The sequence below is a fragment of the Homo sapiens genome, chromosome 19, assembly GCF_000001405.40.
Source record: "Homo sapiens chromosome 19, GRCh38.p14 Primary Assembly".
Lineage (NCBI taxonomy): Eukaryota > Metazoa > Chordata > Mammalia > Primates > Hominidae > Homo > Homo sapiens.
The window spans coordinates 53,881,094-53,907,904 of NC_000019.10; the positions used below are offsets into that span (position 1 = coordinate 53,881,094).

The following is a 26,811-nucleotide window of genomic DNA, read 5'->3' on the forward strand; positions in this document are numbered from 1 at the left end:
GACTGAGTCATAGACAGGAGAGAGACCCCCCTAGCATCAGAGAGAGAGAGAGAGATCAACAGAGCCAGAGAGGGACAAGTACAGAGAAACAGATGGAACCAGAGAGATATAGGAAGAGACAAACAAAAACAGAGACGGAGTTGCAGAACCGGAGGAAGGGAGAGAGACAGAGACAAAGGCATTTATAAAGACGGGTGGAGGTGAGGAGAGAGAGGGAGAGACAGGGGCAAGCATTTAGAGAGTGACTCCCAGAGAGGAAGACAGAGACGGACTCCCAAAGAGATCAAGTTGCAGAGGGAGGGGGAGACAGAGTCACAGCCTGAGAGAGAATAGAGATTCACAGAGCCAGAGAGACAAAGACAGGGAAAGAAACAAACTCAGGGAGACAGAGGCGGAAGAATTTATCAGACGTAGAGGGAGAGACAGAGGGAGACTGATTCACAGTGAGGCAGACCAAGACCCCGAGAAGAACCACGACACCAAGACCCAGAGATGGCGACAGATACAGATGGAGACACACAGCAGAGGAAATAGAGAAATAGAAAGAAATAGAAACAGCATTTCTCGGAGACAGGGAAAAGAAAACAGATCCACTGAGAGGCAGAAACAGAGACACATCGAGAAAGCTCGCTCCAGGAATAGAGGGAGAGGGACAGAGGTCACAAGAAAGACACACGCAGGCAGAGAGCTACACAAATAATGGAGAGGCCAGGGGAGGAAATAAAGACTCAGCCGGCATCGGAGAAAGTGAGAACCTTAGCGCCCTGCCTGTCCACTGCTGGACCCCTAGCGTGGAGCATAAAGTTTGTTGAAGGAAGGAGAGGGGCAGGGTCAGACACAGGGACCCCAGGGCGCCCACAGGACACACGAGGCACCCTAGTGGGGGAGGAACGCGGGGCAGGATGACAGATTGCAGGGTGGTGGGGGGGAGCCAGGCTCAGAGGATGCCCCTCCCTCCAGCCAGCCCCCGGAGTGGGTGTGTGCACGTGTGGGGGGCGGGGAGGGAGGACATTTGTCCCGTGTCTCCGGGAGGGGAGCGCCTTTAAGCCGAAACCCCGCCCTCTCGGTCGTCCTGGCAACGCCTCCCCCAACCCGGGGCTCCCACATTTCAGCAGGTGCCGGAGCTGGAGCTCCCACCGCCGCCGCCCGTGCCTCCGGCTGCCGGCGCCCCTGCCTTTGGCTCTTCCTCCCCACTCGCCCGCTCCCCCTGGCGGAGCCGGCGCGCCCGGGGTGCCGCTCCCTGCCTGGCGCGCTCCGCACCTGGAGGTGCCTTGCCCCTCTCCTGCCCACCTCGGAATTTCCCTGTGGCTCCTTTGATCCTTCGAGTCTCCAGCTCCTCTCCCTTCCACCTGTTTCCCCCAAGAAAGGCAGGATCCTGGTCCCTGCTACGTTTCTGGGGCCATGGCTGGTCTGGGCCCCGGCGTAGGCGATTCAGAGGGGGGACCCCGGCCCCTGTTTTGCAGAAAGGGGGCCCTGAGGCAGAAGGTGGTCCACGAAGTCAAGAGCCACAAGTTCACCGCTCGCTTCTTCAAGCAGCCCACCTTCTGCAGCCACTGCACCGACTTCATCTGGTGAGGGAAGGGGGCTGGGGGACTGGGGGACGAGGGGACTAGGGGTGCAGACTCCTATCACGCCGACCCCTGTGGAAGGAAGAAGGAGGGGGCTGTAGTCCCGACTCCCAGGTTCTAGGATGGCCAGGGAACGCTGGGAGCTTCGACTCCTGGGTTTCAGTGAGGAGGAGGCTGGTTCCTGGAGTGCTGGGTCCGAGGGAGGAGGAGGCTGGAGGACAGAGGTCCTGGAGTCTTGGGTCTGAGGGAGGAAGGGCCTGGGGGGCTGGGAGCCTGGATTCCTGGGTCTGAAGGAGGAAGAAACTGGGGGCTGAACTCCAGTCTAAGGGAAGAAGGGCTGGGGGCCAAAATTTCTGGGTTCTAGAAAGAGGAGGTGGCCGGGGCTTGGACACCTGGGCCCTGCGGGAGGAGGGTCAGAGAGCGCAGGCCCCCTGTGGCTCGCAGAGGTTGGGGGTCCAGGTACCCCTTTCTGCACTGACCTAGGATCCCTGACTCTTCCAGGGGTATCGGAAAGCAGGGCCTGCAATGTCAAGGTAAGAGCTGGGGACCGGGGCTCCTGGGACCCTCAGGAGGGTGGAGGCTGGGGCCCCACAGCTGAGGCTGCTTGACACACGTGTTCTCTGGTCCCCAGAGAGGCGCGGGGGAGCCCGGGGCGGGGGGTGTGGCAGAGACACAGCCTGTGGTGGGGAGGGAGCTTTGATGGTGGGGCCACCGCGGAGGTGGTGCTGGGGGCCCCTCCCTCGGCCGGCTCCAGGTGGGGACAGATATTTGGAGAATCTGTTGCCATGGGAACATGGAGATTTGGAAAAGGGGAGCTGAAGGGGGGAAGGGGGAGGGGGCTGGAGATGCAAAGTCAGAGCCCCCCCCCACCCCAGGCTGCCGTCGCCATGACAACACCAGCCGTCCTAGGCAGGGGCAGGCCGGGTGGGGTCACCAATGGGCGAGTGGGGGCCGGGCGGGGCCGGCAGTTCTGGGGGGCGGGAGAGGGGGGCGAGTCCTTGAGCACCAGCTGCTACTGCTGAGAACAGAGTGAGTCAGGGTGGGGGGCGGGCCGGCAGCAGCGCCCCCAGACTCACTTCTGCCCAAGTTGCTGCTTCCTGGGCTGCGTCTGAAGATATTTCGGTTTTCGCTCTTTGAATCTGTCTGCCTCTCTCCTGGCTTTCTGATCTCCGTCCGTGGGCCTGTGTCTGTTTGTCAATGGGATCCTATTTTCTTTCTCTCTTTTTCCATCTCCCTTCCCTGAGCTCTGTGCTCTGTGTCTCTCTGTAAGTCTCTGCGTCTCTGTTTCTGACTCTGAGCCCATCTCTTGGGTTTCTGTCTCCTGCTTCTCTCTCTGGCCTCCGATTTTCTCTCTGTTGGACTCTCTGTGTTGAGATCCCTCTCTTTCTGGTTTTCTCAGTGTCCGAGTTCCGCTCTCTCTTTCCAATTTTCTGTCTGCTGGGGTCTCCCGCTGGACTAATCCATGCCTCCGTCTGTGTCTCTATGATTTTCATCTATAGTCTGCAGCTTTGTGGTTCATCGACGATGCCACGAATTTGTGACCTTCGAGTGTCCAGGCGCTGGGAAGGGCCCCCAGACGGACGTGAGTGCTCGGACACCTGGTTCTCCTCCTCGGGCCGTGCCCCCGCCCTCACCCCCTCGGCGTCCGTCCCAATTTCTCCTGCTATTTTTATGGCTGGGAGGGGAGGGGGGCTGGAGAGATAGGGGGAGCTATCTGGCCCAGATTCCTTGCCCTTGGCCTGGAAAGGGGGAATGCGAGGGGGACTGACAGGCTGGGGACACGGGTGGGGCACAGAGAGGAGGCCGGGGTGAGGAGACTGAAGATGGGTGCTGCCGGGGGTGGGCTGTGATCCAGGGGTGAAGGGATTTAAAAATTGAGAGCTGAGGGGCACACGGAGAAAAATATCAGTGCAGGTGCGGAGATGCCAACATAAGACAGAGGGAATCTCAGGGAGAGGAACAGAGACAGAAGAAGACAGAGACCTAGGAGAGACTGAAGCTGAGGCAGAGAGAGAGAGAGATGGAGCAGAGAAAGAACCAGGGAGAAAGAGAGGAATTTGGAGGCACCAAAAGATGGACAGAGAAACTCCAAGAGACGGAGACACAGACACCTGGAGAAAGAGACTAAAATAGAAAATGGTGGATACAGACAACAGCTTAGGAGATGCTGAGAGGAGACCCAGGGAAGTCCCACAGTACACTTGCACACATGTGCGTGCATGTACAGATGCCCCTGTCATCACAGATGTGCAGCACGCAGAGACACACAGCCTCTCCCCACCCCCTCTCTCTCCATCAGAGGCTCACAAGACCAGTCAACCCTGAGTGCCCATTCCCGTTCCCTTTTCTGCTTTATCTCTGAGCCTCAGTTTCCTCCTCTATAAAATGGGGCTGATGATCTAGCATTGACCAACAGAACTGTTTACAGTGACGGAAGCATTCTGTACATGCACTGTCCAATAGGCAGCCACCAGCTCCATGTAGCCAGTGAGCACTTGAAACAGGGCGACTGTGGCTGAGGATTAGAAATTCCATTTCGTGTCATTTGAATTGGCTTAAATTTTTTTTTTTTATTTTTATTTTTTGAGACGGAGTCGCGCTCTGTTGCCCAAGCTGGAGTGCAGTGGCGCAGTCTCAGCTCAATGCAACTTCCGTTTCCCAGGTTCAAGCAATTCTTCTACCTCAGCCTCCTGAGTAGCTGGGACTACAGGCGCATGCCACCACACCCCGCTAATTTTTTTTGTATTTTTAGTAGAGATGGGGTTTCACCATGTTGGCCAGGCTGGTCTCGAACTCCTGACCTTGTGATCCACCCGCCTCGGCCTCCCAAAGTGTTGGGATTACAGGCGTGAGCCACCGCGCCCGGCAGAACTGACTTAAATTTAAACAGCCACATGTAGTTAGTGGCCACCAAATGGGACAGCACACATCTGGACACTTCCAGGCTTGTTTTGAAGTCAGGTGGGTTCAGAGTTTCGCCCAGGGTTTGACACAAGATCGGAGACAGTTTTATGATGTACAGATGGAGAGAGAGGCAGAGAGAGAGAGATCCACAGAAGTCCATGAGGCGTTTTACCACCCTCTCAGCTGAAAATAACAGAAGTCTACATAGAAGATGTGACTTCATAGAACATATATTGAGCACCACTGTCTACCAGCACGTGTATGTGATTGATGACCCCCCTCGTCCACTCACCTCCGCCACCAACACCAGATAAGTCTGATGCATCCAGTGCTCATTGGGTACACTCATCAAGATTTTTTTTTTTGTTTTTTGCCTGTAATCCCAGCTACTCGGGAGGCTGAGGCAGAATTGCTTGAACCTGAGCGGCAGAGGTTGCAGTGAGCCAAGATCACGCCACTGCACTCCAGCCTGGGTGACAGAGCAAGACTTTGTCTTGGAAAAAAAAAAAAAGATTTTTTTTTGTTTTTGTTGTTTTGTTTGATTTTGGGGTATTTTTTAGATGGAGTTTCACTCTGTCACCCAGGCTGGAGTGCACTGGTGCAATCTTGGTTCACTGCAACCTCTACCTCCCAGGTTCAAGCGATTCTCATGCCTCAGCCTCCCGAGTAGCTGGGACTAGAACAGGCATGAGCCACCATGGCCGGCTAATTTTTATATTTTTAGTAGACAGGGTTTCATCATGCTGGCCAAGCTGGTCTTGCTCCTGACCTCACGTGATCCACCCACCTCGGCCTCCCAAAGTGCTGGGATTACAGGCGTGAGCCACCGCACCCAGCCGATTTTTGGGGTTTTTTGAGACAGGGTCCCACTCTGTCACCTAGACTGGAGTACAGTGATGGGATCATAGCTCACTGCAGCCTTGAATTCTCCAGGCTCAAGTGCTCCTCCTGCCCCAGCTTCTCAAGTAGCTGGGACTATAGGCACAAGCCACAACACCTAGCTAATTAAAAAAAAATGTTTTTGTAGAGATGGAGTCTCACTCACTATATTGCCCAGGCTGGTCTTCAACTCCTGGTCTCACTCGATTCTCCTGCCTCAGCCTCCCAAAATGATGGGATTACAGGCGTGAGCCACTGCACCTGGCCTCAAGTATTTTGTATACAGTATAGGTTGGATCCACACAACAGCTTATTTGGTTATTTTTCCCTGTCTATCTGGTTTGAATCCCAGCTCCACCACTTTTTGGTTCTGTGACATTTCCTGAGTTAATTTACCTCTCTGCACTTGTTGAATTCCTTGTTTGTAAAGTGGAGATGATAATTATGCTCACTATGGATTGTTTTGAAGATTTAGTGAGTCAGACATTTGGGATGGTTTCTGACACATAGCAAGAGCCAAAATATTATTTTTTATTCTTGTTAAAATTATTATTATGACCAATGAGGAAACGAGTGAATAGTGAGAAGGAGATCTTTCCTCTGCATCACTCGGGGGTTTTTTTGTTTTTGTTTTTTTTTGCTGTTGAGACAGGGTCTCACTCTGTTGCCCAGGCTGGAGTGCAATAGTGCTATCACTGCTCACTGCAGTCTTGACCTCCGGGGCTCAAGTGATTCACTGCTGGCAGTTGATCTTCTTAAAAGTAACATGCAGGCCAGGCACAGTGGCTCACGCCTGTAATCCCAACACTTTGGGAGACCGAGGCGGGTGGATCACCTGAGGTTGGGAGTTCGAGACCAGCCTGACCAACATGGAGAAGCCACGTGTCTACTAAGAATACAAAATTAGCTGGGCGTGGTGGCACACGCCTGTAATCCCAGCTACTCAGGAGGCTGAGGCAGGAGAATCACTTGAACCCAGGAGGCGGAGGTTGCAGTGAGCCAAGATTGCGCCATTGCACTCCAGCCTGGGCAGCAAGAACAAAACTCTGTCTCAAAAAAAAAAAAAAAAAAAAAAAAAAAAAAAAAAAAAAGGTAACATGCCTTGACCAGGCATGGTGGCTCATGCCTGTAATCCCAGCTCTTTGGGAGGCTGAGGCAAGCGGATCACGAGGTCAGGAGATCCAAACCATCCTGGCTAACGCGGTGAAACCCCGTCTCTACTAAAAATACAAAAAATTAGCCAGGCACGGTGGCACGCGCCTGTAGTCCCAGCTACTCGGGAGGCTGAGGCAGGAGTATCGCTTGAACCCCGGAGGCAGAGGTTGCAGTGAGCCGAGATCACACCACTGCACTCTAGCCTGGGCGACAGAGTGAGACTCCATCTCAAAAAAAAAAAAAAAAAAAAAGTAACATGGATCAAGATTTGGCAAGAATGATTTCATTTAGTCCCCAGGGAGGGCACATGCCCCCACTTTTCAAGCGGTAAATCTGAGGCTTTGAAAAGGGGCAGGCGTGGTGAGGCCACCTAGCTGGGTAGGGGATAGAGGCAAGATTTGAACTCTGATGTATGTAACCACAGCCTCCGTGCTGTCTCCTTTTTAACAGCGACGTTCACTTTTGAGAATAAGAACAGCAGCCTCTGTCTGTGGATGGTTTGTGTGTCAGGCAGCCTGCTGAGAACCTTCACACACAGCATCTTATTTAGTGCGGCAGGAACCCTTTGAGTTAGGGTCAGCGGAGATATTTAGAAGCCCAGCACATTGAAAAGGATCCTGGAAACTGCCAACACCCTCCTCTACCCAAATATATATTCAAACTAGAAACCCCACTAACATAGATGAAAATCCAAGAATGGCCTAAATGTTCACCCTGTGATAATCCTTTTAATGGATTCTTAGAATCAAGTTATTTAACAAGCAGATATTGTCCCGGGGGTAGTGGGTGGCAGGGGAGAAGGAGAAGCTTCACTGATGACCTGCATTCTTGCTTAATGGACTCTGGAAATTTAGCATTGCTTCAAAATATAGATTATTTATTTCCACTTGACAGAGGAGGATGCTGAGGCTCAAAACTGGGAATGAACTTGCCCCAAATCACACAGCTGAGAAGCGGCCTAGCTCTTACTTACATTCAGGGCTATGTAGGGACTTCAATAAAATCCCTAACAATAACCACAGTAATAGTATTGGGAGCATCTAACGTGGTAGGCACAGCTATGTTTTGTACACCAATTATTTTATTTAGGCCTCCTGGGTTCCTATTATAACTGAGAGGTCATGTTCTCCATTCCACCTGGAGCTCAGAGAAGGCATACCATATGGACACTGACAGAAGCTGCCAGTGAAGGAGCTGGGGTTCAGGGTGGCCCACAAGTCCTCAAATAATAACTTGTGGGAGTTGGGGGGATGGGAACTATGGGAGGTTGGAAGCTCCTGCCTCCTTCATGTTCTGCCCAGATATCATTTGGTCAGCGAGGCCCCCCTGCCACTCCCCCTGCACACAGTTTTGTTGTTGTTGTTGTTGTTTGAGACAGAATCTTGCTCTGTCATCCAGGCTGGAGTGCAGTGGCACAATCTTGGCTCACTGCAACCTCGGCCTCCTGGATTCAAGCAATTCTCATGCCTCAGCCTCCTGAGTAGCTGGGATTACAGGCATGCACCACCATGTCCGGCTAATTTTTGTATTTTTAGTAGAGACAGAGTTTTGCCATGTTGCCTAGCCTGGTCCGGAACTCCTGAGCTCAAGGCAATCCGCCCACCTCGGCCTCCCAAAGTGCTGGGATTACAGGCATGAGCCACCGCACCCAGCCAGGACCACCGTATTTAAAATTTCAATCCCCCAACTTCTGGTGGTCCCCATCCCTGCCTCATTTTTTCTCCAGAGCACCCATTACCAACCATCAAACTATATGTTTTATTTATTTACCATGTTTACATTCTGTATCCCTCCATTAGGAAGTAAACTCCATGTGACAAAGAGGTTTTTTTTTTTCATTTGTTTAATGCTGGGTCCCCACACCAAGAACAGTCCCTGGCACACAGCAGGTGCTCAATGATTATTGGTACATAGAGTGAAAGAGATGGAGCCTCAGGCTGACCTAGAGAGCAAGGCAGGAGGAAAAGATAAAAGGGCCCCTCCCCTGGGGTTTTAGGACCCTCCCAACGCCCCCTAAGCCAGTCTTCTCTGCCCCCAGGACCCCCGGAACAAACACAAGTTCCGCCTGCATAGCTACAGCAGCCCCACCTTCTGCGACCACTGTGGCTCCCTCCTCTACGGGCTTGTGCACCAGGGCATGAAATGCTCCTGTGAGTGACCTGGGCCTTGCCAGGGCCCTTCCAAAGCGCCCGGTCTGGGTTCCGGGAAATGCCCGGGATGGGGTGGGGGGTGGAGTCTTGGCTTGGGGGCGGGGCCTGAGGTGCTACCCGCAGCTTTCCCCTCCAGGCTGCGAGATGAACGTGCACCGGCGCTGTGTGCGTAGCGTGCCCTCCCTGTGCGGTGTGGACCACACCGAGCGCCGCGGGCGCCTGCAGCTGGAGATCCGGGCTCCCACAGCAGATGAGATCCACGTAACTGGTGAGGCCCCGCCCCCTCGCCTGGCCCCGCCCCCTCCCCAAGTGTGAGGCGGGGCTGACCCAAGGCACTTGTGCTGGCCCAGCCCTACCCCAAAGATGGGGCCACGCCTCTTTCTATGGTCACGCCCACACTCCTGACCCCACCCCAAAGGCCGAGCACACCCAGCCATACCCCTTTTGGCTCGAAGCCCCGCCTCCAACCTGGCTTCTTGCAACTTTCTGCACCTGTTAATGACTTTGACTTTCTTTTTTTTTTTGGGACGGAGTTTCGCTCTTGTTGCTCAAGCTGGAGTGCAATGGCGCGATCTCGGCTCACTGCAACTTCCGCCTCCCGGGTTCAAGTGATTCTCCTGCCTCAGCCTCCCGAGTAGCTGGGATTACAGGCGCGTGTCACCAAGCCCGGCTAATTTTTTGTATTTTTAGTACAAACGGGGTTTCACCATGTTAGCCAGGCTGGTCTCGAACTCCTGACCCCAGGTGATCCCCTCGACTCGGCCTCCCAAAGTGCTGGGATTAACAGGCGTGAGCCACCGCGCCTGGCCAATGGCTTTCTTTTTTGTTTTTATTTTATGTTTATTTTTTTGAGATGGAGTCTTGCTCTGTCACCCAGGCTGGAGTGCAGTGGTGCAATCTTGGCTCACTGCAATCTCTGCCTCCGGGGTTCAAGGGATTCTCCTGCCTCAGCCTCCCGAGTAGCTGGAATTACAGGCGCCTGCCACCACATCCGGCTAATTTTTTTTTTTTTTTTTTTTTGAGACAAGATCTCGCTCTGTTGCCCAGGCTGGAGTGCAGTAGCATGATCTCAGCTCACTGCAACCTCCGCCTCTCAGGTTCAAGCGATTCTCCTGCTTCAGCCTCCTGAGTAGCTGGGACTACAGGTGCATGACACTGCACCCAGCTCATTTTTGTATTTTTAGTAGAGACAGGGTTTCACCATGCTAGCCAGGCTGGTCTGGAACTCCTGACCTCAGGTGATCCGCCCGCCTCCGCCTCCCAAAGTGCTGGGATTACAGGGGTGAGGACCGTGCCCGGCAATGGCTTTCTGGGTATAAGGATCTTGAGAAGGGAGAGTACCTGGTTCTGAGGGAGGCTGTGGTTCAGTACTGGTGACATGGCCAGGGTCCAAACTCTGGTTCCTAATGGAGAGAAGGGCTCTGGATCTGATTTCAGGGTCACTGGTTGCGGAAAGGGCTCTATGCCCTGTCTTCTGGGTTCTGGAGAGGTAAGAAGTCATGAGAAACGAGACTGAGAGCTTGGAATTCTTTTTTTTTTTTTTTTGAGACGGAGTCTCGCTGTGACGCCCAGGCTGGAGTGCAGTGGCGTAATCTCGGCTCACTGCAAGCTCCGACTCCTGGGTTCACGTCATTCTCCCGCCTCAGCCTCCTGAGTAGCTGGGACCACAGACACCTGCCACCACGCCCAGCTAATTTTTTTTTTTTTTTGTATTTTTAGTGGAGACGGGGTTTCACCATTCACAGGATGGTCTCGATCTCCTGACCTTGTGATCCGCCCGCCTTGGCCTCCCAAAGTGCTGGGATTACAGGCATGAGCCGCCGTGCCTGGCCAAGCTTGGAACTCTTGATTGCTGACTGGAGGAGGGCTGGGAGCCCCTTCCTGGATCTCTAACCCGTCACACTCTTCCTCACTCCCCGTTTAGTTGGCGAGGCCCGTAACCTAATTCCTATGGACCCCAATGGTCTCTCTGATCCCTATGTGAAACTGAAGCTCATCCCAGACCCTCGGAACCTGACGAAACAGAAGACCCGAACGGTGAAAGCCACGCTAAACCCTGTGTGGAATGAGACCTTTGTGTTGTGAGTCTGGGGTGCAGGGAAGGCAATGACAGCTGACAGAGAATGATCTGAGGGTCCTAGTGGCCCCCAGAGAGCAGCTGATGGGAGGGGTTAGGATAGAGGGAACCCAGAAAAGGGCAGAAGAAGATGGTGGGAAAAGGGAATAGAGTGATTGAGGGAGTGGGATGGAGATACAGAAACGGAGAGACAGCCAGACCACTGTATAATTAGTCTCCATTGAAGCCCCCAACTTTAGAGTTAGACAGAGATGAGAGAGAGAAGAGAGAGTCTCAGAAGAGGCAGAAACCCAAAGAGAGACACAGATGGAGAGGGAGGGGAGAAGATGGGGGATGGCAGGGAGACAGAGATCAGTTGACAGGAAGACAGAGTGATAGAGACCCAGAGAGGAGAGAAGGGTACAGAGACTCAGAGAGAGAGATCTCGAGAGACAAGAGACAGAGATGGGAAGGGGCGGAGAATGCAGGAGGAAGGGAGAGGAAGAGCTCTCTAGGTTTACTTCAGGCCCCAAAGCCCTAGCTGGAGAGAGAGCCCGGCTGGGAAGGTCAGAGGTCGGAGACCGACAAAGCAGGAGAGGAGCCCCAGCTGGCTGGGTTTGCCCCCACCTCCAGCACCAAGGATGGGGAACCGAGGGGAGCCATGAGCTCGGCTCTGCACCCCATCCACCCCACCTTCCTGCAGCAACCTGAAGCCAGGGGATGTGGAGCGCCGGCTCAGCGTGGAGGTGTGGGACTGGGACCGGACCTCCCGCAACGACTTCATGGGGGCCATGTCCTTTGGCGTCTCGGAGCTGCTCAAGGCGCCCGTGGATGGCTGGTGAGGAGCAGGGCTGGGGCCTGGGGATGGAGCGCAATATTACCATCTCCATCTGTGTGTGGTCTCTCTCCTCCAGGCCACTGTCCTTCCCTCTGCCTCCCAGCATGCGCACACACACACACACACACACACACACACGCACACACACGCACACACCCCTCTCTCTCTATTCTTCTCTTCTTCTCCCCTCCCTTTCTCCCTCTCCCTCTCTTTTTATCTCACTCTTTCTCTCTTCCATCTCTGTGTCCGTCTCTCTGTGTCTCTTTCCTCCCTTCCAATGTCTTTGCCTCTCCCATGGGTGCCCCATCCCCGCTGCCCGCCTCTGGTCTCCGTCTGTATGTCAGGTACAAGTTACTGAACCAGGAGGAGGGCGAGTATTACAATGTGCCGGTGGCCGATGCTGACAACTGCAGCCTCCTCCAGAAGTTTGAGGTACCCAGACCCTGGCTTCCTCAAGGGAGCCCAGCCCAGCCTCCCACGGTTCAGAGCTGGCCTTTCCTTCCACCCCTGAGTGCCCGCTGGTCCTGGGACTACAGTTCCCAGAAGACCCTAGGACTCCCTCCTCTGCTCTTCTAGGGGACTCGAGCCCCAGGGTCTGATGGGAATTATAGTTCCTATCTATCGCCATGGCTTGAGGGTACTAGGGGCCACCAGCCCCTGTTCTAGGGCGATCCCCTGCATCTCTTGGGACCCTGACTCTCTCTTTCTTTTCTCCCAGGCTTGTAACTACCCCCTGGAATTGTATGAGGTGAGTAGAACCAGGGCGTTGAATGGAGGCAGTTTTTGCCTACTTCTCTGATTTCTTATTCCTCCTCTGACTTCTGTCTTCAATTCCCCACACATGAGTTGAGCACACATTTGTGCTAGGCCTGTCTTGTGCTTGCTGAATAATCCAGGATCCAGAGATGAATCTGACCCTCAAGCAACTCTCCAAGGTAGGGACACAGTCACAGATACTTAAAATACAGGAAGATGTGCTAAATTAGAGGTAGCCCAGGGCACTGAAGAGGCCTAACGGAGGCACTAATCCAGCCTGGGGGAGGGTGGTCAGGGAGGACTTCCCTGAGGAGGTGACGCCTGAATTGATTCTTGAGGTTTTTTAAAATTTTTTAATTTATTTTTATTTTTATTTTTATTTTTATTTCTGTCGCCCAGGCTGGAGTGCAATGGCACAATCTCGCCTCACTGCAACCTCCAGCTCCCGGGTTCAAGCAATTCTCTTGCCTCAGCCTCCTGAGTAGCTGGGATTACAGGTGACCGCCACCACACCCAGCTAATTTTTTTTTTATTTTTAGTAGAGATGGGATTTCGCCATGTTGGCCAGGCTGATCTCAAACTCCCAAACTCAGGTGATCCGCCTGCCTTGGCCTCCCAAAGTGCTGGGATTACAGGCATGAGCCACTGCGCCCGACCGATTCTTGAGTTTTTTATTTTTTTTTTGAGACGGAGTCTCGCTGTGACGCCCAGGCTGGAGTGCAGTGGTGCGATCTCGGCTCACTGCAAGCTCCGCCTCCTGGGTTCACGCCATTCTCCTGCATCAGCCTCCTGAGTAGCTGGGACTACAGGCGCCCACCACCATGCCCGGCTAATTTTTTGTATTTTTAGTAGAGATGGGGTTTCACCGTGTTAGCCAGGATGGTCTCGATCTCCTGACCTGGTGATCCACCCGCCTCAGCCTCCCAAAGTGCTGGGATTACAGGCGTGAGCCACCACACCCAGCCGATTCTTGAGTTTTAAAAAATCTATCAAGCATGATCATCTTAATCTCTCCATTCATTCATTCACTCACTGAATATCCTTCTTTTTCTTTCTTTCTTTCTTTCTTTTTTTTTTTGAGACAGAATCTCCTTTTGTCACCCAGGTTGGAGTGCAGTGATGCAGTCTCAGCTCACTGCAACCTCTGCCTCCCAGATTCAAGTGATTCTCCTGCCTCAGCCTCCTGAGTAGTTGGGATTACAGGAGCGCACCACCACACCTGGCTAATTTTTGTATTTTTAGTAGAGATGGGGTTTCGACATGTTGGCCAGGCTGGTCTCGAACTCCTGACCTCAAGTGATCCACCCGCCTTGGCCTCCCAAAGCGCTGAGATTAGAGGCGTGAGCGACCACGCCCAGACGAATACCCATTTTCTAGGGTGTCATAAGCCAGGCCCTGTTCTGGGAATAGAATCAGGCCATTCCCTGGTGGAGCTCTTCTTCTAGTGGAGGACAAAGTTACAAACCCAGACATTCACAACGAGGAGCAATGCTGCTGTAATGGAGACAGCCTCAGGCACTGGGGCGTCCCTGGCACAGCCTGAGTCAGAGAAAGCTTCCTAGAGAGGTGAGACCTGGTAGAAGGGCGGGATTTCCCAAAGGAGAGACCAGATTTTCAGGCAGGAGGAAGTAATGCTCTCTCCCTCATTTACCCTTTCAAAAAATACTTTACAGAGCATCTTTGTGTGCCAGGCGTGGCTCTACTCACTGGGGATATAGAGAAAGCAGGGAAAGAACAAACAAACAAACAAAAAAGTTCCTTTCCTTATGGGATTTACACCGGGAGGAAGACATTAAACAAAATATATAAGCATATGATAGACTGGGCACGATGCCTCATGTCTGTGATCCTAGTAAGGCGGGCGGATCACCTGAGGTCAGGAGTTTGAGACCAGCCTGGCCAGCGTGGCAAAACCCCATCTCTACTAAAAAATACAAAAATCAGCTGGGCATGGTGGAGGCGCCTGTAATCCCAGCTACTCGGAAGGCTGAGGCAGGAGAATTGCTGGATTCCGGGAAGTAGAGGCTGCAGTGAGCCCAGATCGCTCCACTGCACTCCAGCCTGGATGACAGAGGGAGACTCTGTCTCAAAAAAAAAAAAAAAAAAAAAGAAGACAAGAATCTTCAAGATTCAACAACAGCAACAACATGTTATAGTCTTTACTGGACTCTTACAGAAACTTTCACCAGAGTTTTTAATGTTGTGTGTGGGGGTTCACCTGCATCAGAATTCCTAGAGTGCTTGCTTTTAAAAGCACATTCCCCAGCCTTTCTGCAGACCTACTCAGTGACGATCTCTCTGATGCCTCAAATGTCTGCCTACTAAATTAATTCCTCAGGTGATCCTTTTGCAAAGTTAAGTTTGAGAATGGGCTCTGCGGCCGGGCGCAGTGGCTCACGCCTGTCATCCCAGCACTTTGGGAGGCCAAGGCGGGTGGATCACGAGGTCAGGAGATCGAGACCATCCTGGCTAACACGGTGAATCCCCGTCTCTACTAAAAATACAAAAAAATTAGCTGGGCGTGGTGGTGGGTGCCTGTAGTCCCAGGTACTCAGGAGGCTGAGGCAGGAGAATGGCATGAACCTGGGAGGTGGAGCTTGCAATGAGCCGAGATCGTGCCACTGCACTACAGCCTGGGTGACAGAGCGAGACTCTATCTCAGAAAAAAAAAAAAAAGAGAGAATGGGCTCTGCAGGAGACAAGGGTACCAGCGGGAGGACATTCTGAGCCAAAGAGGTAGAGTCTTTTGAGATCAGCAGGGATGATCCTCCCGTACAAACCCAAGAAACCCAGCAGGGCAGATGGTGGGCAAAGGCCTAGAGGCAGGGAGTGTAGGGTGGTGTGTGTGCCTGTTGTGGCTCACAGCACTCTCCCACAGTTCAGCAGGCACCACTTAATATTACCAATGAACACCAACTCTGTGCCAAGCCTTGAGCTAGGTACGGGGCTAACAACACAGCAAACAGAAACAGCCCTGATTATTATTATTATTATTATTATTATTATTATTATTATTATTATTATGTATTTATCTATTTGAGACACAGTCTCGCTCTGTCGCCCAGGCTGGAATGCAGTGGAGCGATCTCAGCTCACTGCAACCTCTGCCTCCCGGGTTCAAGCGATTCTCCTGCCTTGGCCTCCCAAGTAGCTGGGACTACAGGCATGTGCCACCATGTCCTACTAATTTTTATATTGCTAGTAGAGATGGGGCTTCGCCATGTTGGCCAGGCTGGTCTTGAACTCCTGACCTCAGGTGATCTGCCCACCTCGGCCTCCCAAAGTGCTGGGATTACAGGCATGAGCCACCGCACCCAGCCCTCAACAAATATTTATGTAGCCTCAATGAGGTAGGCAGTGTTACTGTGTCTTAGCGAACAAAGCAGACCCCTGCCTTAGGGAGCTCACAGGCAGAAAGCAGATAGTCACACAGATAGATGTAAATTACTAAGAATAAAAGTGCCAGGAAGGTGCTGTCCATGGTGACCAAGGGGTGGTAAGAGAGGCATCTGACCCAGTTTAAAAAGTCAGGCGAGGCCTCTATGAAGTGATGCTTGAGTCAAGGTCTAAAGGGTGTTTGGGAGACAACTAGGAGGGAAGGGGAGGGGAGAGCTTTACAGGAAGACCTAACGGCACATCCAGAGGCCCTGAGGTGGGAGGGAGGACAATGAGTGTCAGGCCAGGGTGGCTGGACCATGGAGCCTGGGAGAGAGAAGAACAACCTGCAGTGTCAGTCTCAGCCTGGCTCTGCAAGTCATGTGGAATAAAATCTTAACACAGAGGGAGCAGTTAAAGGGTTTACAAGCATAGGGGAGACATGACCTGGTTTATTTATTTTTAAATTGGCTCCTGTGCCTGCTGAGTAGAGAATGCATTAGAAAGGGCAGCCGTCCATGTAGAGGGACAAGTGTGGAAGCTGTGACAGCAGCTTAGTCTTGGGCCCCCTCCCTGGGGGGCCGAGGCAGGAAAAGGTAGAGAAGGGACCCTAGCTGAAAGCCAGGTGTGCTCCCTGGACTGGCAGCACCCATGTCACCCAGAAGCTTTTTACACATAACGATTCTCAGGTCCCACCCCAGATTTATAGAGTTAGAAAATCTGGCAGTGGGACCCAGCAATCTGTTTTACCAAACCCTCTAGGGAATTCCGGCTTAGAGGCTAAGAGCAACCAGATTCTAGAGCTGGACTGCTTGGGTTTCATTTCTGGCTCTGTCCTTTACCTGCTGTGTGACTTGGGGCAAGTTACTTAACGTCTCTGTGCTAGTCTCCTCTTCTGTAAAATGGAAACGATAGCAGGGTTTTCTGGAAACAGCATATGATAAGCTATCTAAAAAAAAAAAAGAAGAAAAAAAGAGCTAAGTGTTTGTTGAATAATAAATAAACCCTCCAGGCTATGGGGAGTCAGAGAAAATTAAGCCAAGGACAGGGTAGGAGGGTGGCCATTTTCCTCTGTCTAGCGATTCTCATCCTTTCCTTTCTTGGGTGCTGTGTCTCTTGGGAGCATTTCCTTATCGCTGTGTAAGGTCTAACTGCCTCTGGCTCTTTCTTTCTCCTTTCCACAGCGGGTGCGGATGGGCCCCTCTTCCTCTCCCATCCCCTCCCCTTCCCCTAGTCCCACCGACCCCAAGCGCTGCTTCTTCGGGGCGAGTCCAGGACGCCTGCACATCTCCGACTTCAGCTTCCTCATGGTTCTAGGAAAAGGCAGTTTTGGGAAGGTTGGATTCCTGGGGTTCTGGGGGAAAGGGAGGATGTCTGTGGGAAGGTCAGATTTCTGGTTCTTAGGGAGGAAGTGGGGGTGGGAAGAGACTGGGCTCCTGCATCTTCAAATATGGTTAGGTTGGGCCGTTCAGGTTCCTGGAGAGGAGAGGTTTACAGATGTGGACACTCTCCTTGAGGGGACGGGCGGCAAGTCAGGGCTGTCAGTCCCTTAAGAGATGGAGGAAGGGCCTGGGATCCCGTTTCCCTGCGTCCCTTAGGGAGGGGGCAGGTCCTGTACCACTGGGTTCCCAACATGGACTGGCCCTTTTGGAACTGTGCGCATAGGTGATGCTGGCCGAGCGCAGGGGCTCTGATGAGCTCTACGCCATCAAGATCTTGAAAAAGGACGTGATCGTCCAGGACGACGATGTGGACTGCACGCTGGTGGAGAAACGTGTGCTGGCGCTGGGGGGCCGGGGTCCTGGCGGCCGGCCCCACTTCCTCACCCAGCTCCACTCCACCTTCCAGACCCCGGTAAGGATGGAGGGGGCGGAGGCTGTCCTCCGGGCCCTGCCTTATCCAGTTCTGGACATCTGCGTTGGGATTCTGAGTTTAGGGCGAGGCAAGAGAACTTTGTGCTCTCTGAGTGGGCGAGGCCAGGCGGATTGTCTCCTCAGGGGGCGTGGCCGGGGGGGGGTCCTTGGGGGGCGTGGCCAGGCGAAGGGACTCATCGGGGGGCGTGGCCAGGCGGAGGGGCTCAACGGAGGCGAGGCCGGGTGGAGGGGCTCCTCGGGGGCGTGGCCAGGTGGAGGGACTCATCGGGGGCGTGGCCAGGCAGAGGGGCTCTTCGCGGGGCGTGGTCAGGCGGATGAAATCTTTGGGGGGGTGGTTTAGAGGGGCGGGCTTTGTCAGGCGATGGGATCATTAATAGGCGTGGCCAGGCAGATTGGCTCCTTGGGGGCGAGGCCAGGCAGACGAGATTATGAATGAGCGTATCCAGGCAGGTAGATTCTTCGGAGGGCGTGGTCGGGCGGATGAGCTCCTCGGGGGCGTGGCCAGGCGGTGAGTTCCTCGGTGGCATGGCCTGGCCAGGTGAATGGGTCCTGCGGAGGTGTCGTGAAGCGGTTGAGTTCCTTGGGGGCGTGGCCAGGTGGATGGGCTCTTGGGGGGAGTGGCCAGATGCCTGTTTCCCTGGGGAGCTTGGTCTTGAGTGGCTGTAGCCAGTGCTCTGGAATTTTCAGCAAAGGGGCACAGTGGAGGAGGGTGCCTTCCTAGTGGGCCTGCCCAGAATTGGGCTCCGAGTGACGGGGTCATCACTTTTGGATTCTGACTGAAGGACACATCAGAAACAGGACATTATTTCCTTAGGATTGCGACTTAGGGGCAGAGAGTCAGAACCTGCAAGATTTTAAGAGGGCGTGACTTTACTTCCAGGGGCTCCGAATGAGAGTGGCCAGCCACCTGGATTAAAATATATGTATGAGCAACTTTGATTCCTTTTTTTTTTTTTGAGAAGGAGTTAGCTCTTGTCCCCCAGGCTGGAGTGCAATGGCGCGATCTCGGCTCACTGCAACCTCCGCCTCCCGGGTTTAAGCAATTCTCCCGTCTCAGCCTCCTGAGTAGCTGGGATTACAGGCTCCCGCCACCACACTCAGCTGATTTTTGTATTTTTAGTAGAGACCGGGTTTCGCCACGTTGGCCAGGCTGGTCTGGAACTCCTGACCTCAGGTGATCCACCCGCTTCGGCCTCCCAAAGTGCTGGGATTACAGGCGTGAGCCACCACGCCCAGCTGCAACTTTGATTCTTAGTAGGAAGCCAGAATTGCATCTGTGTGTGAGTGGCTGTGGAAAGAGATTTTGGTGTTCCCGGATTTCGAGCGAATGGTGGGCTTCAGTCTTCAATTCTGAGAAGGCGGGGCCAGAACACGTGGTCTGATAGTTGGCGGTGGTCTGGCGGGTGGAGATTCTGAGGTAGCAGGATTAGCACCTTAGGGCCCTCCCAGGGATGTGGCTAGGTGCTCTGAATTTCTGGTTGGGTGCATCTGGAACCTTCCACGTCTGTCCTGAGTGATCAGGAAAGAAATTCTCCTACTCTGGGTAGATGGATCCCGCCTCTAAGCCCATGCACTTCTCCGCAGGACCGCCTGTATTTCGTGATGGAGTACGTCACCGGGGGAGACTTGATGTACCACATTCAACAGCTGGGCAAGTTTAAGGAGCCCCATGCAGCGTGAGTCTCGGCCAACAGAGAATGGTCGGGGTGGTGGAAGGGGGCAGGATCCAGCCACTGACCTTCTGACGTCCCCACCCACCCCGTCCTCCAGGTTCTACGCGGCAGAAATCGCTATCGGCCTCTTCTTCCTTCACAATCAGGGCATCATCTACAGGTGAGCAGCCCCAGGAATTTCCGTGGAGGAAATCACGCCCCTGGAAGGGAAGGGATTTGAATATGTGGCTCTAGACTGCTGAACTCAACACTTCTTGCAATTCCTGCCCCACACCCCTGCATCGTCCAGGGACCTGAAGCTGGACAATGTGATGCTGGATGCTGAGGGACACATCAAGATCACTGACTTTGGCATGTGTAAGGAGAACGTCTTCCCCGGGACGACAACCCGCACCTTCTGCGGGACCCCGGACTACATAGCCCCGGAGGTAACCCCAACCCTGCTGCTCTGGTCACGCTTTGAGATCCCTTAGAGGGTGTAGCTGATGGTCCAGTATTCACCACGGGTGAGGCCTGACCCTCAGACCTTGTCATGAGTTGTGGCCTTCTTACACAGCCAGTCGTTCCTCCAGCCTCCAGCACAGGTGAGCTTGGCACTGAGCCTGCCAGGTGGGCCCAGCTGGGTCTCTAAATAGGTAAGGTGGGCAGCACCTGTGGGTGAATGTTCCAGGAGAGTGGGACCAGCTCGTAGGAATTCCAAGTAGGACCTGACCCTGGATCCTTCTGAGAAGGGGCAGACGATTTCTAGTGTACTCTGAGTGGGTGTGGCCTGTCCCCTGCCAACACTGAACATGTCCGGACTATCTTCTGAATACTTTAAACTGGGCAGGGCTCTCCCTGGAGTATTCAGTTGGATGGAAGCTTATTTCCTGTGTTGTACGTGTTTCTCTGATGTAAGTGTACTGGACTTCTGTGCTGCATTTTTCAAGAGGGCAGGATCAGCTGGGCGCGGTGGCTCACACCTGTAATCCCAGCACTTTGGGAGGCTGAGGCAGGTGGATCACTTGAGGTCAGGAGTTTGAGACCAGCCTGGCCAACATGGTGAAACCTCATCTCTAACAAAATTACACAAATTAGCCGGGCGTGGTGGCATGCGCCTGTAATCCCAGCTATTCGGGAGGCTGAGGCAGGAGAATCGCTTGAACCGGGGAGGCGGAGGTTGCAGTGAGCTGAGATCACACCACTGCACTCCAGCCTGGGTGACAGAGCATAACTTCATAACTTCATCTCAAAAAAAAAAAAAAAAAAAAGCCGGGTGCAGTGGCTCACACCTGTAATTCCAGCACTTGGGAGGCTGAGGCGGGCGGATCACAAGGTCAGGAGTTTGAGACCAGCCTGACTAACATGGTGAAACTCCATCTCTACTAAAAATACAAAAATTAGCCAGGCGTGGTGGCGGGTGCCTGTAGTCCCAGCTACTTGGGAGGCTGAGGCAGGAGAATTACTTGAACCCGGGAGGTGGAGGTTGCAGTGAGCTGAGATCGCGCCACTGCACTCCAGTCTGGGCAACAGAGTGAGACCCTGTCTCAAAAAAAAAAAAAAAAAGAAAAAGAAAAAGGGCAGGGTGAGATCCCTAAGGTTCTGGGAGAGCAGATGCTGTCCTATGAGTATTTTAAGTGGGTGGGGTATTACCCGACTTTGTTAAAGGGGTGGGGCTGATGTTCTGAATGTACGTATAGATGGATAAAGCACATGCCTGTAGTCCCAGCTACTTGGGAGGATGTGCCTGACTCGTGCCCAAATAATCAATGTCAGTGATCACAAAACCTGGCTGGTAATCAGAATCATCTGTAGAAAATTTGAAAACTGAGGCCAGACATGGTGGCTCATGCCTGTAATCCCAGCACTTTGGGAAGCTGAGGCAGGCAGATCACTTGAGGTCAGGAATTCAAGACCAGCCTAGCCAACATGGTGAAACCCCGTCTCTACTAAAAATACAAAAATTAGCTGGACATGGTGATGTGTGCCTGTCAACCCAGCTACTCAGGAGGCTGAGGCAGGAGAATCACTTGAACCCAGGAGGTGGAGGTTGCAGTGAGCCAAGATTGCACCACTGCACTGCATCCTGGGCTACAGAGTGAGACTCCATCTCAAAAAAGAAAAAAGATAAGAAAATTTGAAAACTACACACATATTCCTGACTCTGACACAAATATTCTAGGTGGGTGGAACCAGTGACTTGGCCGTTAGGTAGTCTTTCTATTTGAGGCCAAATGAATGTTTGAAGTAGGTATGCTTTGTTTCCAGAATATTCCAAAAGTTAGATCGCTGGCCAAAATATTCAGAGTGGAGGCTGGGCGTGGTGGCTCACTCCTATAATCCCAGCACTTTGGGAGGCGGAGGCAGGCCAATTGCTTGAGTCCGGGAGTTTGAGACCAGCCTGGGCAACATAGTGAGGACCTATCTTCACTAAAAGTGCAAAAATTAGCCAGGTGTGGTGGTGCACACCTGTAGCCCACCTACTTGGGAGGCTGAGGTAGAAGAATTACCTGAGCCTGGGAAGTTGAGGCTGAGTGAGCCGTGATCACACTACTGTGCTCCAGCCTGGGCAACAGAGTGAGACCCTGTCAAAAAAAAAAAAAAAAAAAAAAAAAACGAAACAAAAAATCACCTGATGAAATAAATATTCAGAGTGGGAAGAGCTTGTGCTGAAAGCACTTAACGTGGGTAGCGCTCCCAGGGGGTGAGGCCAGAGGGGTCCTAGGCTTCCTAAAGAACGCATCATGATTCCCTGCCTTCCACCTCCCCTAGATCATTGCCTACCAGCCCTATGGGAAGTCTGTCGATTGGTGGTCCTTTGGAGTTCTGCTGTATGAGATGTTGGCAGGACAGGTAAGGGAAGGTGGGGAGAAGCTGGCTTGGCTAAAAGAGACAGAGAGGGGCACCTGGATCTCAGGAGGAGCCAGTTAGAAAGGAGCCCAGAAGGTTGTGCTCGAATAGCGCTGTCCATGGTTCTGAAGTGTTGTCTTAATGTAGACCAGGTGTTTTGTTTTGTTTTGTTTTGTTTGTTCTGTTACCATGGATTCTTTCTCCCTAGATGGTAAAGTAGCAGTCTGGTTAAGCCTATGGATCCCTTCTCAGAAGAATGTTTTTCAATGCACAAAATAGAATAATACATACGCAGAAAACCAAGGTTCAAATCCTCACTTTGCCACTTACTGGCTGTGTCAGCTTAGACAATTACATACATTCTAAATCAGCTTGATTGGATTCCTGGACTGCTGAGTGTACTACAACTAAAAAAATTGGTTACCACACTCTTGATCATCTTCTTAGCTGGCTATGGTAGTGGGCACCTATAGTCCCAGCTACTGGGGAGGCTGAGGCAGGAGGGTCACATGAGCCCAAGAACTCAAGGTTACACTGAACTATGAGTATGCCACTGTGTTCCAGCACAGGCGACAGAGCAAGACCCCATCTCAAAAGAACAAACAAACAAAAGAAATCAATCATTTTGAAAGATAGTCACCAAAACTTTTAAAATTTAATTGAATCTAACAACCAACTAAATTCAATGTATACAGTTGTCTAAATATTTAAAATTGGAAAATGGACATATGTGCAATTTCTTATTAATTCATTAAGTAGTAAGTTCTAATGGTAGTAAAGTAAAAAGGAGCTCTAACAGTAATTTTGATGTAGCAATGACTAATAATTTGGAATATCTGCAACTCTCATGTGATGAGAAAATACCTGTGATTACTATTGATAATGAAGCCACAAGCACTGCTGCTGCCTGCATTCATAACTGAAGGGAATGCTAAATTTTAGTTAGAAGTTAAAAAAAAATTTGGCCGGACATGGTGGCTCACGCCTGTAATCCAAGCACTTTGGGAGGCCGAAGTGGGCAGATCACTTGAGGTCAGGAGTTTGAGACCAGCCTGGCCAATATGATGAAACCCCATCTCTAAATCTTTGCCTTGGTATCATTTTTTGTAACCTCAGAAGACTGTGAACTACTCATCCAACCAGGAGAATGCTTTTAGGGTGTTTCCTGCAGTTTTTCCTCTCTTCTATTTAACTGACATGTTGCATAATTAACAGCCTGCTGATTTACATAGCAGATAAAGAGAGGCAGAATAGTACAGAGATGCACAGATCTGAGGCATCCGAGATAGGAAATGAGAGAACCTGAGAAGGAGAGAGATCAAGCTTTGGTGGTTTGGTCTGATCTCTCCTGAGGGTGTGGTCAGGTGTGCATGTGGGGCGTGTGATGGGTCAGGCATGTTCCCGGTGGGGTGAGGAGGGTGTGGAAGGTTTGGGGAAAGGCAGTTGGGCATGTCCCTGACTCTCTATCCCCTCCACTTTGATAGCCTCCCTTCGATGGGGAGGACGAGGAGGAGCTGTTTCAGGCCATCATGGAACAAACTGTCACCTACCCCAAGTCGCTTTCCCGGGAAGCCGTGGCCATCTGCAAGGGGGTGAGAGCCCCCTGACTCCCAGCTTCTCCAGGCTCACAACCACACACCCCATTGCTGTCTCTGTGCCTATTAGAAAAATGCTCCCATTCCTGAAGTCACTTTACTTCCATCTGTTGGAAAAGTTGATATGATGCATAGGTTTTGTTAGAACAATGATTTCCAGCCCTGTTGCCACGAGGCCTGGAGATGGCCTCTGTCTCATCCTTCTCTGTGACTCCCACTCCCCAGCTCCCTGCTTGCAGGAAGTGCTGAAAGTCCAGGGTGTCTGTCTGTCTAGAACTGGGTGGGTCAGGTAAACCCAACTTCTGCAGCTTTTCTTCCTGTGTGAACTTGGGTGAGTCACCAAAACTTTGTGAGCTTAACTCTCTTCAGGGGTTATGGAGTTGACACAGAAGAAAGCACCTGGCCCATAGCAGATTTTCAGCCCATGTCAGCACCTTCTGCGTCTAGCTGCTCTCTCTGCATCTCCCTGACAGTCTCTCTGGTTTCTGTCTCATGCCTCCCCTCCATCTGCATACGATGGGGCTCTCTGTGTTTCTTCCTTTTCTCTGTGTCTCCTTCTGCATCTCTGTCTACACTTTTGGGCCTTTGTCCAACCCCCCTACCCCCCATCTCTGTCCCCTCCTGTGTCCACTCTCATACACACACGCTACATCTCACCCTCCTCTCCTGCTGGCTTTCTGTCCTCCCTTTTCTCTGGGTCTCTGTCCCCATATTTGGTCTTTATTCCTCCCTCTGGGTGTGTGTTTCCTGGGTCTCTATCCTTCTCTCTTTCTGAATCTCTGTCCCCCTGGGTCTCCTCTGTCTCCTCCCTTCTCTGAGTTTCTGCCTTCTTACCTGGGGTCTCTGTACCACCCTCTGAATTTCTATTTCCCCTTTTCTCTGGGTCTGCAACCTCTCTTCCCCCATTCCCTCCCTCTTCCCCTTCATCTCCTCTACCCTTCCCTCCCTCCCCCTACCGACCTCCCTCTGTCCTTCACTCTCCCCTTCCCTCCCTCCCCCTACCCTTCCCTCTCCCCGTCCCTCTCTCCCCTTCCCTCTCTCCCCCTACCCCTTTTCCCTCTCCTCTTCTCCATCTCCCTCATGATTTGTTCTGTTTCTCTGTGTGTCCCTGGGTCTCTGGGTATGAATTTCATCTGCTATCATTTTCATGTATCCTCTCCTTCTTCCTGTCTCTCTCTCTCTCTCTCTCACTCACTCTCACCCTCTGTCTCTCTCTCTCTCTGTCCCTCTTCCTCTCTCTCTCCTCTCTGTCTCTCTCTGTCTCGCTCTCTGTCTGTCTCCCTCCTCCTCCTCCTCCCTCCTCCTCCTCCTCCTCCTCCTCCTCCTCCTCCTCCTCCTCCTTCTTCTTCTTCTTCTTCTTCTTCTTCTTCTTCTTTTCTTCTCTCTCTCTCTCCTTTCTTTTCCCTTCCTCCCTCCATTTGCCTGTTTCCCCTGGCTGTTCTTATCTCTCCGGATCTCATGCCTGTGTCTCTTGGTTCCTCCATCTGCCTGTCTCTGTCCCTCTTTCTCTGGGTCTACCTGTCCGGCACTCTGTCTGTTTGTCTGTCTGTCTCTCTCTGTGTTTCCCACAGTTCCTGACCAAGCACCCAGGGAAGCGCCTGGGCTCAGGGCCTGATGGGGAACCTACCATCCGTGCACATGGCTTTTTCCGCTGGATTGACTGGGAGCGGCTGGAACGATTGGAGATCCCGCCTCCTTTCAGACCCCGCCCGGTCAGTCACCCTCCAGGCAACAAAAACCTGGTCCCTGAAGGGGTGGGGTTCCCCTGGGCCTCAATATACCTGTATGTGGGGGTGGGGTTCCCTCTGCAGAGCCCCCCGCCCCCAACAAAAGGAGGTGCAGACACCATGAAGCATGAATAGAGATTCTGCAGGAGACAGGAGATGAGACTGGGGTACACAGAGGGACACCCGAGGAGCCCTCGGAGCTGCTTAACTTTCCCTCCCCCACGTCTCCCACAGTGTGGCCGCAGCGGCGAGAACTTTGACAAGTTCTTCACGCGGGCGGCGCCAGCGCTGACCCCTCCAGACCGCCTAGTCCTGGCCAGCATCGACCAGGCCGATTTCCAGGGCTTCACCTACGTGAACCCCGACTTCGTGCACCCGGATGCCCGCAGCCCCACCAGCCCAGTGCCTGTGCCCGTCATGTAATCTCACCCGCCGCCACTAGGTGTCCCCAACGTCCCCTCCGCCGTGCCGGCGGCAGCCCCACTTCACCCCCAACTTCACCACCCCCTGTCCCATTCTAGATCCTGCACCCCAGCATTCCAGCTCTGCCCCCGCGGGTTCTAGACGCCCCTCCCAAGCGTTCCTGGCCTTCTGAACTCCATACAGCCTCTACAGCCGTCCCGCGTTCAAGACTTGAGCGGAGCCCGATATTCTCCCTGACCTTAGCGTTCTGGACTCTGCCCCAATCGGGTCCAGAGACCACACCACTAACCATCCCCAACTCCATGGGGTTCGAGACTCCATCTTGGTAGTTCTGTGCCTCCCCCCAGACCCCGCCCCTGGGGAAATAGCCTCACGGGGTTGGCTGTTCCAGACTCAGGTTCCAGAACAGCCCTCGGCCTCCGAGGCTCCCCGCCTCCACTCTAGTTCTAGATGAGTGGGAGGCGTGCCCCCCTCCTCCAGTACGTCCCGCTGCTGTGCTCTGGGGATTTCTGGGATATATGGAGGATTCTTTCCCCAGAGGCTCCCAATCAGCTTTTGTTCTAGACTTCCCCATCCCGAAGCCATCACTTCTCCCCGCAGCCCGCCTGCCGTGCATGGCTCCTGTCTGGCTCGGACCCACCCCAACTCTCCCCAGTGCCTGCCACTCTCTGGGACTCTCCTCCTCCCCTCCTCTTCCCTTAGCCTCTCCCACCCGGCCACAGCTGCTGGAGAATAAATTTGGGATGCTGATGCTGAAGTGTTTGGATATTTTCTTGTAAGCTTGGAGAATGAACGGGGTGTGGAGGCGGGACAGTGACTGTACATAGACACAAACAGAGAAGGAAAGCACGGAGACCCACAAAGTGAGAGGGGAGACACCCACTGCAGGGGAGCAAGCAGAGAAGCGCGCGCAGACAGAGGCAGGAGACCCAGACAGACAGAGACAGGGAGAGAAAATATCACAGAGGGCACCAACGTGGACAGTGCACAGCGAGAGAGGGGCACGGAG

General features: G+C 52.9%; 1 protein-coding gene across 3 annotated transcripts, besides 6 other annotated features; it reads left to right on the plus strand.

Moving 5' to 3' along the window:
• Window positions 1-26,559, plus strand: PRKCG (protein kinase C gamma). 3 transcript variants are annotated; one of them, XM_047439092.1, is made up of 20 exons: window positions 1-747; window positions 1,464-1,571; window positions 2,070-2,101; window positions 3,068-3,150; window positions 8,545-8,656; window positions 8,793-8,924; window positions 10,581-10,737; window positions 11,416-11,550; window positions 11,895-11,982; window positions 12,269-12,298; window positions 16,866-17,018; window positions 17,347-17,535; window positions 19,140-19,231; window positions 19,326-19,388; window positions 19,518-19,656; window positions 21,980-22,060; window positions 23,542-23,649; window positions 25,224-25,364; window positions 25,614-25,798; window positions 25,901-26,559. In XM_047439092.1, exons 5-20 carry the CDS (start codon window positions 8,644-8,646, stop codon window positions 25,941-25,943), a joined length of 1,749 nt encoding a protein of 582 aa, XP_047295048.1. In that variant the 5' UTR covers window positions 1-747; window positions 1,464-1,571; window positions 2,070-2,101; window positions 3,068-3,150; window positions 8,545-8,643; the 3' UTR covers window positions 25,944-26,559. The 3 variants fall into 3 exon arrangements, with proteins under 3 accessions (XP_047295048.1, NP_001303258.1, NP_002730.1); NM_001316329.2 differs by lacking the exon at window positions 1-747 and having other exon boundaries at window positions 1,104-1,571; NM_002739.5 differs by lacking the exon at window positions 1-747 and having other exon boundaries at window positions 1,104-1,571; window positions 25,614-26,559.
• Window positions 1,556-2,107: an enhancer, noted in NCBI's record as "H3K4me1 hESC enhancer chr19:54385903-54386454 (GRCh37/hg19 assembly coordinates)". NCBI's record gives its function as "activates a minimal SCP1, AML or CMV promoter by ChIP-STARR-seq in primed H9 embryonic stem cells {active_cell/tissue: H9 hESC(primed)}" and the evidence as "EXISTENCE:reporter gene assay evidence [ECO:0000049][PMID:30033119]".
• Window positions 11,494-12,033: an enhancer, noted in NCBI's record as "H3K4me1 hESC enhancer chr19:54395841-54396380 (GRCh37/hg19 assembly coordinates)". NCBI's record gives its function as "activates a minimal SCP1, AML or CMV promoter by ChIP-STARR-seq in primed H9 embryonic stem cells {active_cell/tissue: H9 hESC(primed)}" and the evidence as "EXISTENCE:reporter gene assay evidence [ECO:0000049][PMID:30033119]".
• Window positions 17,682-17,976: an enhancer, noted in NCBI's record as "tiled region #4174; K562 Activating DNase matched - State 4:PromP". NCBI's record gives its function as "activates a minimal TATA promoter and a strong SV40 promoter by Sharpr-MPRA in K562 cells {active_cell/tissue: K562}" and the evidence as "EXISTENCE:reporter gene assay evidence [ECO:0000049][PMID:27701403]".
• Window positions 17,682-18,615: a biological region, named in NCBI's record as "Sharpr-MPRA regulatory region 4174".
• Window positions 17,684-18,615: an enhancer, noted in NCBI's record as "H3K27ac-H3K4me1 hESC enhancer chr19:54402031-54402962 (GRCh37/hg19 assembly coordinates)". NCBI's record gives its function as "activates a minimal SCP1, AML or CMV promoter by ChIP-STARR-seq in naive H9 embryonic stem cells {active_cell/tissue: H9 hESC(naive)}" and the evidence as "EXISTENCE:reporter gene assay evidence [ECO:0000049][PMID:30033119]".
• Window positions 26,270-26,811: an enhancer, noted in NCBI's record as "H3K4me1 hESC enhancer chr19:54410617-54411158 (GRCh37/hg19 assembly coordinates)". NCBI's record gives its function as "activates a minimal SCP1, AML or CMV promoter by ChIP-STARR-seq in primed H9 embryonic stem cells {active_cell/tissue: H9 hESC(primed)}" and the evidence as "EXISTENCE:reporter gene assay evidence [ECO:0000049][PMID:30033119]".